The sequence below is a fragment of the Homo sapiens genome, chromosome 6, assembly GCF_000001405.40.
Source record: "Homo sapiens chromosome 6, GRCh38.p14 Primary Assembly".
Lineage (NCBI taxonomy): Eukaryota > Metazoa > Chordata > Mammalia > Primates > Hominidae > Homo > Homo sapiens.
The window spans coordinates 56,892,001-56,906,462 of NC_000006.12; the positions used below are offsets into that span (position 1 = coordinate 56,892,001).

Genomic DNA, 14,462 nt, shown 5'->3' on the forward strand with positions numbered 1-14,462 from the left:
GCCCAAATTCAGGCCCTAATCACCTCACTGCTAGGCTGCCACAGCTACCTAACTGTCCTGCTCTCCTGATGTACCCTGCACATGTTTAATCCTCCTAAAATCATGCTATGATCACACTACTCACCTATTACAGTGTCTTCAGAAGCACAGAAAAGAAAGCTTAAACCAGTGGTTGTCTGAAATGTATGTTGGCCCCTAACTATTTTTTCCAGCTTTATCTTGTATTTCTCTCATATAAATCCCCACATCCAGTCAGTTCTCAGCACTTTTGCTTACTCCACTTCCCGGACCCAGCATCTGCTACCCAGCCAATTCCTATCCCTTTTTTTTTTTTTTTTTTTCAGACAGTGTCTTGCTCTGTCACTCAGGCTGGAGTACAGCAGCATGATCATGGCTTACTGCAGCCTGGAACTCCGGGCTCAAGTGATTCTCCCACCTCAGCCTCTCAAGTAGCTGGGACTACAGGCGTGCACCACCATGACTGGCTAATTTGTTTTTAATTTTTAGTAGAGATAGGGTCTCCCTATGTTGCCCAGGCTGGTTTCAAACTCTTGAGCTCAAGTGATCCTCCCACCTCAGCCTCCCAAAGTACTGGGATTCCAGGTGTGAGCCGCCACGCCCAGCACTACCCATATTTTAAAGCCCAACTCAATCCCAACTTTTCCATAAAGTAATTATGCCTTAACCAACCTATTTAGGGGTGGGGGTCCCCTCTTTGTTCTCTGAATTCCTATAATGCTTACTAATTGTACCAGTCATCATTAGCTATCTTTCATATATCATTCACTCAGTCAATAGTATTCACTCAGATGCCAAATGCCAAACGCCAGATGCCAGGAGATATTCTAGAACCCTTGATATGGGCCTCAAAGAATTCATGGTCTAGGGGAGGAGGAATAAAAGGAAGAAACTACTATTTATTGTTTATTCTATGCAGGTCTTTCCATATGTCAGCTCAGTTCATCCTCATGACTCTATATGGTAGCTATTGTTATCACTTTATTTATTTTTTATTTTTCCAGAAGTTATTGAGGTACAGGTGGTATTTGGTTACATGAGTAAGTTCTTTAGTGGTGATTTGTGAGATTTTGGTGCACCCATCACCCAAGCAGTATACATTGTACCATACTGTTGGCTTTTATCCCTCGCCCTCCTCATACTCTTCCTCCCAAGTCCCCACAGTCCATTTTATCATTCTTACGACTTTGAGTCCTCATAGCTTAGCTCCCACATGTCAGTGAGAACATATGATGTTTGGTTTTCCATTCCTGAGTTACTTCACTTAGAATAATAGTCTCCAATCTCATCCAGGTCACTGCAAATTCTGTTAATTCATTCCTTTTTATGGCTGAGTAGTATTCCATCGTATAGATACACCACAGTTTCTTTATCCACTCGTTGATTGATGGGCATTTGGGTTGGTCCCACAATTTTGGAATTGTGAATTGTACTGCTATAAACACACGTGTACAAGTATATTTTTCATATAATGACTTCTTTTCCTCTGGGTAGATACCCAGTAGTGGGATTGCTGGATCAAATGGTAGTCCTACTTTTAGTTCTTTTTTTTTTTTTTTTTTTTTTTTTATTTTTTTTTATTTTTTATTTTTTATTTTTATTGATCATTCTTGGGTGTTTCTCGCAGAGGGGGATTTGGCAGGGTCATAGGACAATAGTGGAGGGAAGGTCAGCAGATAAACAAGTGAACAAAGGTCTCTGGTTTTCCTAGGCAGAGGACCCTGCGGCCTTCCGCAGCGTTTGTGTCCCTGGGTACTTAAGATTAGGGAGTGGTGATGACTCTCAACGAGCATGCTGCCCTCAAGCATCTGTTCAACAAAGCACATCTTGCACCGCCCTTAATCCATCTAACCCTGAGTGGACACAGCACATGTCTCAGAGAGCACAGGGTTGGGGATAAGGTCACAGATCAACAGGATCCCAAGGCAGAAGAATTTTTCTTAGTACAGAACAAAATGAAAAGTCTCCCATGTCTACTTCTATCCACACAGACCCAGCAACCATCCGATTTCTCAATTTTTTCCCCACCCTTCCCGCCTTTCTATTCCACAAAACCGCCATTGTCATCATGGCCCATCCCCAATGAGCCGCTGGGCACACCTCCCAGACGGGGTCGTGGCCGGGCAGAGGGGCTCCTCACTTCCCAGTAGGGGCGGCCCGGCAGAAGTGCCCCTCACCTCCCAGATGGGGCGGCTGGCCGGGCGGGGGGCTGACCCCCCCACCGCCCTCCCGGACGGGGCGGCTGGCCAGGCAGAGGGGCTCCTCACTTCCCAGTAGGGGCGGCCGGGCAGAGGCGCCCCTCACCTCCTGGATAGGGCGGCTGGCCGGGCAGGGGGGCTGTTCCCCCCACCTCCCTCCCGGACGGGGCGGCTGGCCGGGCAGAGGGGTCCTCACTTCCCAGTAGGGGCGGCCGGGCAGAGGCGCCCCTCACCTCCCGGACGGGGCGGCTGGCCAGGCAGGGGGCTGATCCCCCCACCTCCCTCCCGGACGGGGCGGCTGGCCGGGCGGGGGGCTGACCCCCCCCACCTCCCTCCTGGACGGGGCGGCTGGCCGGGCAGAGGGGTCCTCACTTCCCAGTAGGGGCGGCCGGGCAGAGGCGCCCCTCACCTCCCGGACGGGGCGGCTGGCCAGGCATGGGGCTGATCCCCCCACCTCCCTCCCGGACGGGGCGGCTGGCCGGGCGGGGGGCTGACCCCCCCCACCTCCCTCCCGGACGGGGCGGCTGGCCGGGCAGGGGGCTGACCCCCCCTCCCCCCTCCCGGACGAGGCGGCTGGCCGGGCGGGGGGCTGACCCCCCCACCTCCCTCCCGGATGGGGCGGCTGGCCAGGCGGGGGGCTGACCCCCCCACCTCCCTCCTGGGCGGGGCGGCTGGCCGGGCAGAGGGGCTCCTCACTTCCCAGTAGGGGCGGCCGGGCAGAGGCGCCCCTCACCTCCCGGACGGGGCGGCTGGCCAGGCGGGGGGCTGACCCCCCTACCTCCCTCCCGGACTGGGCGGCTGGCCGGGCGGGGGGTTGACCCCCCACCTCCCTCCTGGACGGGGCGACTGGCCGGGCAGAGGGGCTCCTCACTTCCCAGTAGGGGCGGCCGGGCAGAGGAGCCCCTCACCTCCCGGACGGGGAGGCTGGCCGGGCGGGGGGCTGACCCCCCCCACCTCCCTCCCGGACGGGGTGGCTGCCGGGCGGAGACGCTCCTCACTTCCCAGACGGGGTGGTTGCCAGACGGAGGGGCTCCTCACTTCTCAGACGGGGCGGTTGCCAGGCAGAGGGTTTCCTCACTTCTCAGACGGAGCGGCCGGGCAGAGACACTCCTCACCTCCCAGACAGGGTTGCGGCCCAGCAGAGGCGCTCCTCACATCCCAGACAGGGCGGTGGGGCAGAGGTGCTCCCCACATCTCAGACGATGGGCGGCCGGGCAGAGACGCTCCTCACTTCCTAGATGGGATGGCGGCGGGGAAGAGGCGCTTCTCGCTTCCTAGATGGGATGGCGGCCGGGCAGAGACGCTCCTCACTTTCCACACTGGGCAGCCAGGCAGAGGGGCTCCTCACATCCCAGACGATGGGTGGCCAAGCAGAGACGCTCCTCACTTCCCAGACGGGGTGGCGGCCGGGCAGAGGCTGCAATCTCGGCTCTTTGGGAGGCCAAGGCAGGCGGCTGGGAGGTGGTTGTAGCGAGCCGAGATCACGCCACTGCACTCCAGCCTGGGCACCATTGAGCACTGAGTGAACGAGACTCCATCTGCAATCCCGGCACCTCGGGAGGCCGAGGCTGGCGGATCACTCGCGGTTAGGAGCTGGAGACCAGCCCGGCCAACACAGCGAAACCCCATCTCCACCAAAAAAAAACGAAAACCAGTCAGGCGTGGCGGCGCGCGCCTGCAATCGCAGGCACTCGGCAGGCTGAGGCAGGAGAATCAGGCAGGGAGGTTGCAGTGAGCCGAGATGGCAGCAGTACCGTCCAGCTTTGGCTCGGCATGAGAGGGAGAGGGAGACGGGAGAGGGAGAGGGAGACGGGAGAGGGAGAGGGAGACGGGAGAGGGAGAGGGAGACGGGAGAGGGAGAGGGAGACGGGAGAGGGAGAGGGAGACGGGAGAGGGAGAGGGAGACGGGAGAGGGAGAGGGAGACGGGAGAGCCTACTTTTAGTTCTTTAAGGAATCTCCACACTGTTTTCCATAGTGGCTGATATGGTTTGGCTGTGTCCCCACCCAAATCTCAACTTGAATTGTATCTCCCAGAATTCCCACGTGTTGTGGGATGGACCCAGTGGGAGGTAATTCAATCATGGGGGTCGGTCTTCCCCATGCTATTCTCATGATAGTGAATAAGTCTCATGAGATCTGATGGGTTTATCAGGGGTTTCTGCTTTTGCTTCTTCCTTATTTTCTCTTGCCACCACCATGTTAAGAAGTGCCTTTCACCTCCCACGATTCTGAGGCCTCCCCAGCCATGTGGAACTGTAAGTCCAATTAAACCTCTTTTTCTTCCCAGTCTCAGGTATGTCTTTATCAGCAGCATGAAAACAAACTAATACAGTGGCTGTACTAGTTTACATTCCCACCAGCAGTGTAGAAGTGTTCCCTGATCACCACATCCACGCCAACATCAACCATTTTTTAATATTTTGATTATGGCCATTCTTGCAGGAGTGAGGTGGTATCACCTTGCGGTTTTGATTTGCATTTGCCTGATCATTAGTGAAGTTGAGCATTTTCTCCTATGTCTGTTGGCCATTTGTATATCATTGTCTTTTGAGAACTGTCTATTCATGTCCTTAGCCCACTTTCTGATGGGACTGTTTGTTTTTTTCTTGCTGATTTGTTTGAGTTCATTGTAGATTCTGGATATTAGTCCTTTGTCAGATGTATAGATTGTGCAGATTCTCTCCCACTTTGTGGGCTGTCTCTTTACTCTGATGACTGTTCCTTTTGTCATGCAAAAGCTCTTTAGTTTAATTAAGCCCCAACTATTTATCTTTGTTTTTACTGCATTTGCTTTTGGGTTCTCAGTCATGAAATCTTTGCCTAAGCCAATGTCTAGAAGGGTTTTTCCAATGTTATTTCTATAATTTTTATAGTATCAGGTCTTAGGTTTAAGTCCTTAATCTATCTTGAGTTGATTTTTGTATAAGGTGAGAGATGAGGATCGGTTTCATTCTCCTACATGTGGCTAGCCCAAACTTTTCTATTTGTTGAGAAGGGTGTCCTTTCCCTTATTATCACTTTATAATAAGGAAACTGATTCTCAGAGAATTGAAATATCTTGGCAAAGAATACTAAGTGGTTTTTTTTTGGGGGGGGGGTTGTTTTTATTTATTTATTTATTTATTTATTTTTGAGACGTAGTCTCACTCTATTGCCAAGGCTGGAGTGCAATGGCACGATCTTGGCTCCCTGCAACCTCCACCTCCTGGTTCAAGCGATTATCCTGCTTCCACCTCCCGAGTAGCTGGGATTACAGGCGTGTGCCACCACACCTGGCTAATTTTTGTACTTTTAGTAGAGAAGGGGTTTTGCCATGTTGGCTAGGCTGGTCTCAAACTCCTGGCCTCAAGTGTTTTGCCCACCTTGGTATCCCAAGGTGCTGGGATTACAGGAGTGAGCCACCATGCTCGGCCACCAGGTAGGTATGTTTTTATTCTCTGCTGTCACTGTAACCCTCTCAGATTGTCTGTCCATCTCTTCCTTGCTCAGTCCCTGGGAGACTGATGGCTGTGATCTGCATCACCCAAGTTCCTTTGCCCTCCAGCTTCTAGGTAGGTTGGGTCAACAGGAGATACCACTGAGAGCACGAGCTAAGAGAGCAGTATATTTATTCGCCCTGCTCCCTCCTGACTCACTAGGTTCTGGCAGTAGCTGCAACCCTCAGGCACCATCCTTGTGGAAGGGCTCTTCCATGGCTCCAGCTCTTCCTACCAGGATCAATTAAGACCAATGCCCTCTGCTGCCCCTTAGACCAGGAGTTGAAGGTAAGTAGGCTCCACCTATAGGCTGATGAAGCACCTTAGCCCTGCCCACATTTCTGTAAATAGTGCCTTCATTAAACTCTCTTCAGTTAAATCCTCTTAGTGTGCTGTTTCCTGCAGATACACAGAGCAGGATTTGAACCCACGTGAGTCTTACTGCAGAGACCTCCTTTTTTGCTGGGGTAGCTGCTATGTTGGAGGTTTGTACCTAGTGCTGAGAATCAAAACTAAGGGCACCTCACTCTGATAGGAAGGATCAGAAAAGACTTCACCTGACCTATCCGAGCATGAGTCAGTCTCAAAAGATGAACTGAAGTTTACCAGGCAAACAAAGAATAAGGAAAAACATTCAAGGGCAAAGTAGACAGCAGGTTCAAAGTCACAGAGGCATAAAGACTATGTCTTATTAACCAAGGCAGTTATGTAGAGGGCTTGTGAGAGAATAATGATGGTTGAGAGTTTCTAAACTTTAATGATAGTCACTTACTTCTCAATCCTGATCCACATGGGGAGATTAGAAGAAGCAAAGAATTAGCTAGACTCCTGGCAAGAGAAACAATTCACCTATTCCCTACCTTCAACTGATGCCTATTACACAAAATAAGTTCAAATATTTAGCATAATGTACAAGCCCTTTCTAATCTGGCCTCTACCCAACCCACCAGTCTGATGTGCCAGCACCACCTCAAGCTGTTCACTGAGAATGCCATACCCTCCCACATCTCTGTGCTTTTATATATGTTTTTCTCATGCAGAAGATACCTACTTCTACTTTGTACTTGGTAAATTCCTCCTTATCTCTCAGGACTCATCTCAGGTGTCTGCTTATCTGTAAATATTTCTGGAGATCCAAGATGATTCCATAATGCCTTGTGTATAACTCTAGAACAGTACTTTCAAAGCACAGAACATGCATTATAATTGCTTGTTTTCATGTCTGTTGATTGACTCGACTGTGATTTCCTAGTGACCAGGTACTACAGGAAAGTAACAGATGGTAGAGGTACATGCTTGGGTTCTGGAGGCAGGCCACCTAGATCCAAATCCTAAACTCTACCCCAAACAACTAGATAACCTGAGGCAAGTTATGTATCCTCTCTGGGGCTCAGTTTCATTATCCATAAAATGGGAATCATAACATCTACCTCATAGAATTGTTAAATAAGTGACATAAAATAATGCCTGTTACACATTTAGCCCTCAGTAACTGTTAGTTAACACATATCTGTATGTCCCTTATTTTCTACATAAAATGCATGTTTGTTGAATGAGTAAATTTTCCTACCATTTCATATTTCTCTGCATAGATACCAAATTCTACTTAGCCTTTGTTTTATTGAATCATGAAAAATAAACCCTCATTTCTAAATATGTACTTTTTTTTCAATTGGTTATGATAAACAGATCCTTTTCTGTAAAGGAATTTAACTTCTTTCCATTGTTGTTGGCCTGGTTACTGAGTCAGACATTCTCTTGGCCTTCGCACAGTCTCCACATGTGCCTGCCACACAGTTACCCCCACAGAAGGGCAGTTCTGTTTCAATAATTTACAAAGACATTTTCAAGCCAAATCTTGATGGCTCCCCTATGTTGGCACAAGAAACAACAACAGGCTCCCCACAGCATAGAGATGAGCCATACAGACACTTTTTTCTAATGCCAAAGCAAATAAAATTATTGCAGTCATAAAATTACTTTACAAGTTTTAAAATGGCATTTTCTAAGCCCCAGCCTTGGTAAAAAGCCCATGAGCCAGAACCAAGGAAAGAAAAATCAGAGCACACAGAACAACGTGCTCAGGATGTGAGAAGGGGATGAAGACCAGCTCCTAGTTGAGCCCTGAGTTTCTGAAGAAAGGTGGCATTGTGGCCAACAGGGCACCAGGTTAGAAAAAGACAATGGTGCTGCCTTATAACAATATAAAGGCCACACCTGAGAAGGCCAGGACACTTAGAGTTACCCTAGGCTGGGTGTGGAGGGACGCACAGGCCTCACTGGCTCAAGAGCCTCCAGGAGGAGTTCAGCCACTGCTACTGCCCAAGACTCCAGCCCCACCTTCCTTCACTGCTTCTCCTATCCTGACACTGGTTTTGTTGTCATCCTCTTCATCAGTTCTCTCATTACCACACCTAGATTTGTTGACTCTATGTCCCCATCCTCATTCTAGAACTCCAGCTTCAGCAGGGCTGGGAGTTCACCAGCTTTCATATCAGCTGCCTGACAGTGACTAACTCTTGCTTTTTTGTCAACTATCTATCCATCCTAGAACATTCTATGAAACCCTATTCCTTGCTGAAACTCATATGAGTACGCTGCCACTTGTTGGGAATAACAACAACCTAATTATTCAAAGTTAATCTGATAATGTTTTTAAACTAAAAGAACAACCACATGATTTGACAGTGAATTTAATATTTTTATAAAAGACAGTTCTCTACTTACAGGCCTCCTGATTGAAGCACCTTGAACAGAGTGATAAAATTCTGGCTGGACTCGGCTGCTCTTCTTGATTCTTCGTTTCCTCACTGAAGTTTCTTGCTCACTCTGATGGTGAACTTCCACCACGGGCTTCACTTCTTCCAGACGGGCAGCTGCGGCCGCTGCAACTCGTCTTCTAAGATGCCGAGGGCTTGCTCTGAATCCCTGTGGCAGAAAACACAACCAAGCAAATCCAGATTTGTATTGAGTTAGTCTGGAAGTTCTCCATGGCTAGTTATACAAAGAGCTCCAAAAGTCACTATATTCAGTGAGATCACGTGCACTCCCAAAGTGAGCATGGAGGAGGCTTAACGTGCAAGTTAAGTTTTCCCCACAAGTGTTCTTTAAAGCACCCCAGTATTTCAGGGCCCAGAGTTATTCTACATTAAGAAGTGTTCTTAATTGAGTAAAGCCAGTCCAAAAAAAAAAAAAAAAGGAGGGAAAAAAAGCAGGTGGGCACACTGCTTGACTGAAGCATCAGGGAGACTGTGAAGAAGGGCGTTTCCATTTTGGCCTGAAGTAGAGTGTAGGGAGCGGGACAGGATATCATTCCAGGGTAAAGTGCCACTTTACATTCCTGAGAGAGACTCTTTCTGAGGAAGGAAAGAGCAGGAATGCCAATCATCACTGCAAAACACCACAAAGTGAGGGTTCCAAACTCAAATGGAAGCAACGAGGTGGCACAAAGGGTATGGGTTTGGGCGTCAGATGGGCCCGGGTCCAAATGCTGACTTCTTAATTACAGCTACACAATGTATTAAATATTTCTGAGTCCAACTGTTCTAACCTACAAAATGTATAACATTCCACTCACAGGGCTTTTAAGTTTTAAATAACATAAATATAAGTAAAATTCCAGCTGGGCACAATGGCTCACGCCTGTAATCCCAGCACTTTGGGAGGCCAAGGCGGGTGGATCACCTGAGGTCAGGAGTTGGAGACCAGCCTGGCCAACATGGCGAAACCCTGTCTCTACTAAAAATCAAAAATTAGCTGGTCATGCTGGTGGACGCCAGTAATCCCAGCTACTTGGGAGGCTGAGGCAGGAGAACTGCTTGAACCTGGGAGGCAGAGGTTGCAGTGAGCCAAGATCATGCCACTGCACTCCAGCCCAGGTGACAGAGTGAGACTCCATCTAAAAAATAAAATAAAATAAGATAAAAAATATATATATGTGTGTGTGTGTATCTGTGTGTGTGTGTTTCTGTGTGTGTATATATATATACATGTAAAATTCTAAGCATGGTATCTGACACATAGGAAGTGCTTAATAAAATTGTCATTTTCCTCTTCTTTAGAGCAAGATGAGTATAAGGACAACTCAGACAACGGAAACATGTCAGCTAAGTCATATTATGCAACTGAGAACATGCAATTTTGGAAAATATCAATAATTACATAAAATAGTCTTGGTCCTCATGGCTTACAATTTACTGGAGAGCAGAAGGAGAAATCTAACATAGAGTTCATAAACACATGGGAATGTGTAATGAAGGGTTAAAGTGGTTAAAGTAGTAGACTCTCAGCGCTAGCAGATCTCAGAGAAGGAAATCAATGAATGAAGCTGAGTATAGTTACATTTGGCTTAGTTGAGTGGGTGGCATTTGAAGAATGAATTGAATTTATATTGAAGACAAAGGAAACAACATAAGAAATGAATGAATAATACATAGATGATAGACAGATGGGTGGAGTATTTACAACAATAAGAAACGTTATTTGATAATGTGCTGGTATGAGGGTACAAGCTAAATATGGTGGGAAACTAGTGAGAGATAAACACTAAATGATCCAAGAAGGGCTTCTTTCAGTTTGTGTGTCTTCTGAATTTTTGAAGATGTATAAAAGGCTTAAAGTCTGCAGTAAATGCATAAAAAATGAGGAGTAAGAATTTCAGAGAGATGAACAGTATGAGAAAAGGCATAATAATGATTCTGTGGGATTCTGAAAGATAAATGTGTACAGTGGGATTCTCACTGAGGGAGCCGGAAGATGGGCTACTGTCCAATTATGGAGAGCCTGTACACCAGGCTGAAGGATATGAAGAAAGAGATAATTTTTAAAAAAGGAGGGGGTTAACCCCAGAGTCAAAAGTAGCAATGAGGTCAACAGAAATCGGTAAGGAGAAAATGCAAATGGATTTGGCAAAACCGAGGTCATTGTTTGGGCTCTCCTAATCCATCCGCAAATACTTTAGTCTTGTTCCCATCCCGCCCCTGCGTGCAAGCTCAGCTGGTCCTCTTCAACCGAAAATAGTCCCAGAACATCCCCACCACTCCCACGTAACTCAGGAGGTACTACAGCAGCTGCTGGAGAAGAGGATTAAGGAGAAGAGGGAACTGGGCCAAATGCTGAACCAAATTCTAGGGCAGTTTAGACCACACACATCAAAACCAACAACCATACAGGCTGCTTTTTATGCAGCTTCCTGGACATTCCCCATCCACCCACCCGCCCCCTCCACCCTCTACACACACACATTCATTCTCTCTCTCTCTCTCTCTGTCTTTCCTTCTCAATCTCATTTTTTAACAAGCTTCTCTGATAATTTTTCTACACTTTGAAGACTAAGAATCTCTAGGAACCAGAGTTTAGTTTGACCACTAGATGGCATTATCTCCCATAGCCCTGCATTCTAATTCAGAAATTTGGTGTTCTGGTAGAATGAACAAAATATTTGATGATATAGTAGCTTCTGTAATAGTGGAGTAAGTTCAGTACATTTCTTTGGTAAGAATGTAGATTCTCTTATGAGTAATAAGCAACCAGATTTTGCTTAACTGGTATTATTACCAATAGTCCTCAGTGGACTACAAATTCTAGAAACACTTAGGGAGAAAAACTGCATAAAACTTCGCTAAAGTAACCAAATGACAGAGATTAAAACATGCTGTCACAGCCATTCTGCAAAACAATAACTCAGTGAATTCACATCCCTGTATCTACCCTAGAGAAATTCTACCAAGAGTGCCCAGTAAGATATTCAATGCAGAATTATTTATGATATAAAAAAATTTTTTTGAGACAGAATCTTGCTCTGTCACCCAGGCTGGAGTGCAGTGGTGTGATCTCAGCTCACTGCAACCTCTGCCTGCTGGGTTCAAGCGATTCTCCTGCCTCAGCCTCCTGAGTAGCTGGGATTACAGGTGTGCACCACCATGCCCGGCTAATTTTTGTATTTTTAGTACAGATGGGGTTTCACCATGTTGGCCAGGCTGGTCTCAAACTCCTGACCTCATGATCTGCCCAGCTCAGCTTCCCAAAGTGCTGGGATTACAGGTGTAAGCCATCGCATGCGGCCAAAAATTCTAAACCACTTAAATCAGTCTTTCCTAAACTTCAGGCATCTTCATTCCACCTTAACATTTTTTCTCCAGATCTGAGCACTGCCTCAGTTATTTCTTTTATACCCAAATTTACTTGTACTATTTTAAAATAACTATTTATAAGCACTGTGGTATACTACACAGACTCTGCAGCCACTATCTGGGTTCTAATACTGCCTTTGTCACTTCCTAGTTGTATGATCTTGAATAGTTACTTAATTATTTCCTCACCTATAAAATAAGGATTAAAATAGTAATTCATAGGGTTGCTGAAAAGAATAAAGTAATGGAGGTAAAGTACTTCAAAGAGTACCTAGCACGTAGTAGTACAGAAACATTCACTATAATTACTATGGATATTACTTGTGTGAATAAAATATAGTCTTGAACACAATAGTGTATTATTCATACTATCTAAAAAAGAAATCAGGTGGAAATAGGAAAATGAGTCACATTGCTGGTGTGCCTTGAAGACAGACACATGTGAGGTACCGATCATTAGGAGAGAGTTCTTTGTTACTCTCCAGTGAGTCAAACTACCTGGGTTCAAATATAATACCAGCTCTATTACTTACTAGGTGTGTGGTCTTGGCTAAATTACTTCTCTGTGCCTTGCTTCTTCTTTAATTTGTCAAATGCATATAACAATACGTCTCTCTTGTAGAGTAATGGGGTGTTTAAATGAGATAATCCACATTACGTACTCAGAACAGTACACAGCATAGAAAAAATACTTAATACATTATTATCATTATTATTACTGCTTCACTTCCTGGATCTGGCAGCAGCAATTTACACATCAGCAGCTCACAGCTATGATTACAAACACTATAAACAACGATGACCGTTCACCTTTATTTCCCTAAATAACTGTAAGGAATTACAGCTCCTTGATTTATGACACTTTCTTCTCCTAAGTAATATTAAAAAAAAGCCATGTCTTTTAACAGAGGAAATTTTAGCTTGAAACAGTAGGTGGTGCTATAAGTTCTTCCAGGTGTTAATAAGAGTTACTCTTTTTCTTTTGAGACCGAGTCTAGCTCTGTCGCTAGGCTGGAGTGCAGTGGCGCAATATCGGCTCACTGCAACCGCCGCCTCCCGGGTTCAAGTGATTCTCCTGCCTCAGCCTCCTGAGTAGCTGGGATTACAAGCATGTGCCACCATGCCCAGCTAATTTTTGTATTTTTAGTAGAGATGGGGTTTCACCACATTGGCCAGTATGGTCTTGATCTCCTGACCTCATGATCTGCCCACCTCGGCCTCCCAAAGTCCTGGGATTACAGGCGTGAGCCACCATGCCCGGCCAATAAGAGTTACTCTTCAACCATTAGGTGATGGACACTTGGAAGCCTGTCAGTAGTGGACTTCTATCATTTTTAGGACACCCCAAATTATCAGCCCCTTTTGGATAATCATTTCCCAAGATGTGCACTCGTGTGTGTGTGTGTGTGTTTGTGTGGTGTGTATGTGCATGTGTGAGGAACATTTATCATGAGATCTGCTCTCTTCAACCTTTAAGTGCACAATACAGTATTGTTAACTCTGGGTACAATGTTGTATAGCAGATCTTTAGAACTCATTCAGCTGGCGTAACGGAAACTTTATACCCATTGAATAGCAACTTCCTATCTCTCCTTCCCTCCAGCCCCTGGCAACTACCATTCTACTCTTTGATTTTATTAATTCAACTAATTTAGATACTTTATATAAATGGAATCATTCAGTATTTGTCTTTCTGTGACTGAGTTATTGCACCTAACATAATGTTCTCCAGGTTCATTCATACTGTTGCATATGCCAGGATTTCCTTCATTTTTTAAGGCTGAGTACTATTCCATTGTATGCATATATTGCGTTTTCTTTTTCTCTACTTTTTTTTTTTTTTAGACAGAGTCTTGCTTTGTCACCCAGGCTGAAGTGCAATGGCACAATCTCGGCTCACTGCAACCTCCACCTCCCGGGCTCAAGCAATTCTCCTGCCTCAGCCTCCCAAGTAGATGGGATTACAGGCACAGGCCACCGCACCCAGCTAATTTTTATATTTTTAGTAGAGATGGGGTTTCACCTTGTTGCCCAGGCTGGTCTTGAACTCCTGACCTCAGGTGATCCACCCATCTCGGCCTTCCAAAGTGCTGGGATTACAGGTGTAAGCCACCACACCCAGCCTATATTGCACTTTCTTTATCCACTCATCTCTCCACGGACATTTAGATTGTTTCCATATCTTGGCTACTGTGAAAAATGCTGCAATGAACATAGGAGCATATATAACTCTTCAAGATCCTGATTCCAACCCCTTTGTACATATAGCCAGAAGTGTGATTGTTGGATCATATGGTAATTCTAGTTTTAACTTTTTGAGAAACCACCATACTGTTTTGCATAGCGGCTACACCAGTTTACATTCCCACCTACAGTGTACAAGGGTTCCAATTTCTCCATAGCCTTCTGATACCAGAGTTAAGAAGAAATTACTAGGCAGATACTCAGGGTACAAAAGTCCTCAGTCAGATTTTCCCTTTAACGAAAAGCAGCCCCAAATCATTTTCTAACAAAGAACAGCCTGTAAAGTCAAGCTGCAGACATAGACAAGCAAGCTGAGAGCTTTCACAGGTGGATGCCTGCAGGAAAGAACTACCTGGGACTAGACGTGTTCAAAATGATGGCTCCATCTTCCCTT

The 14,462-nt window shown here is 46.2% G+C and overlaps 1 protein-coding gene across 4 annotated transcripts in view; it reads right to left on the reverse strand.

Annotated features, from left to right (window-relative positions):
* The window catches only part of DST (dystonin), a 496,835-nt gene that overhangs the window by 434,005 nt on the left and 48,368 nt on the right, over positions 1-14,462 (reverse strand). For all 4 annotated transcript variants that reach the window (NM_001144769.5, NM_001374722.1, NM_001374736.1 and 1 more), the window contains exon 3: positions 8,421-8,621. In NM_001144769.5, the coding sequence (NP_001138241.1) occupies positions 8,421-8,621 (201 nt within the window). The remainder of the gene's footprint in view (positions 1-8,420; positions 8,622-14,462) is intronic.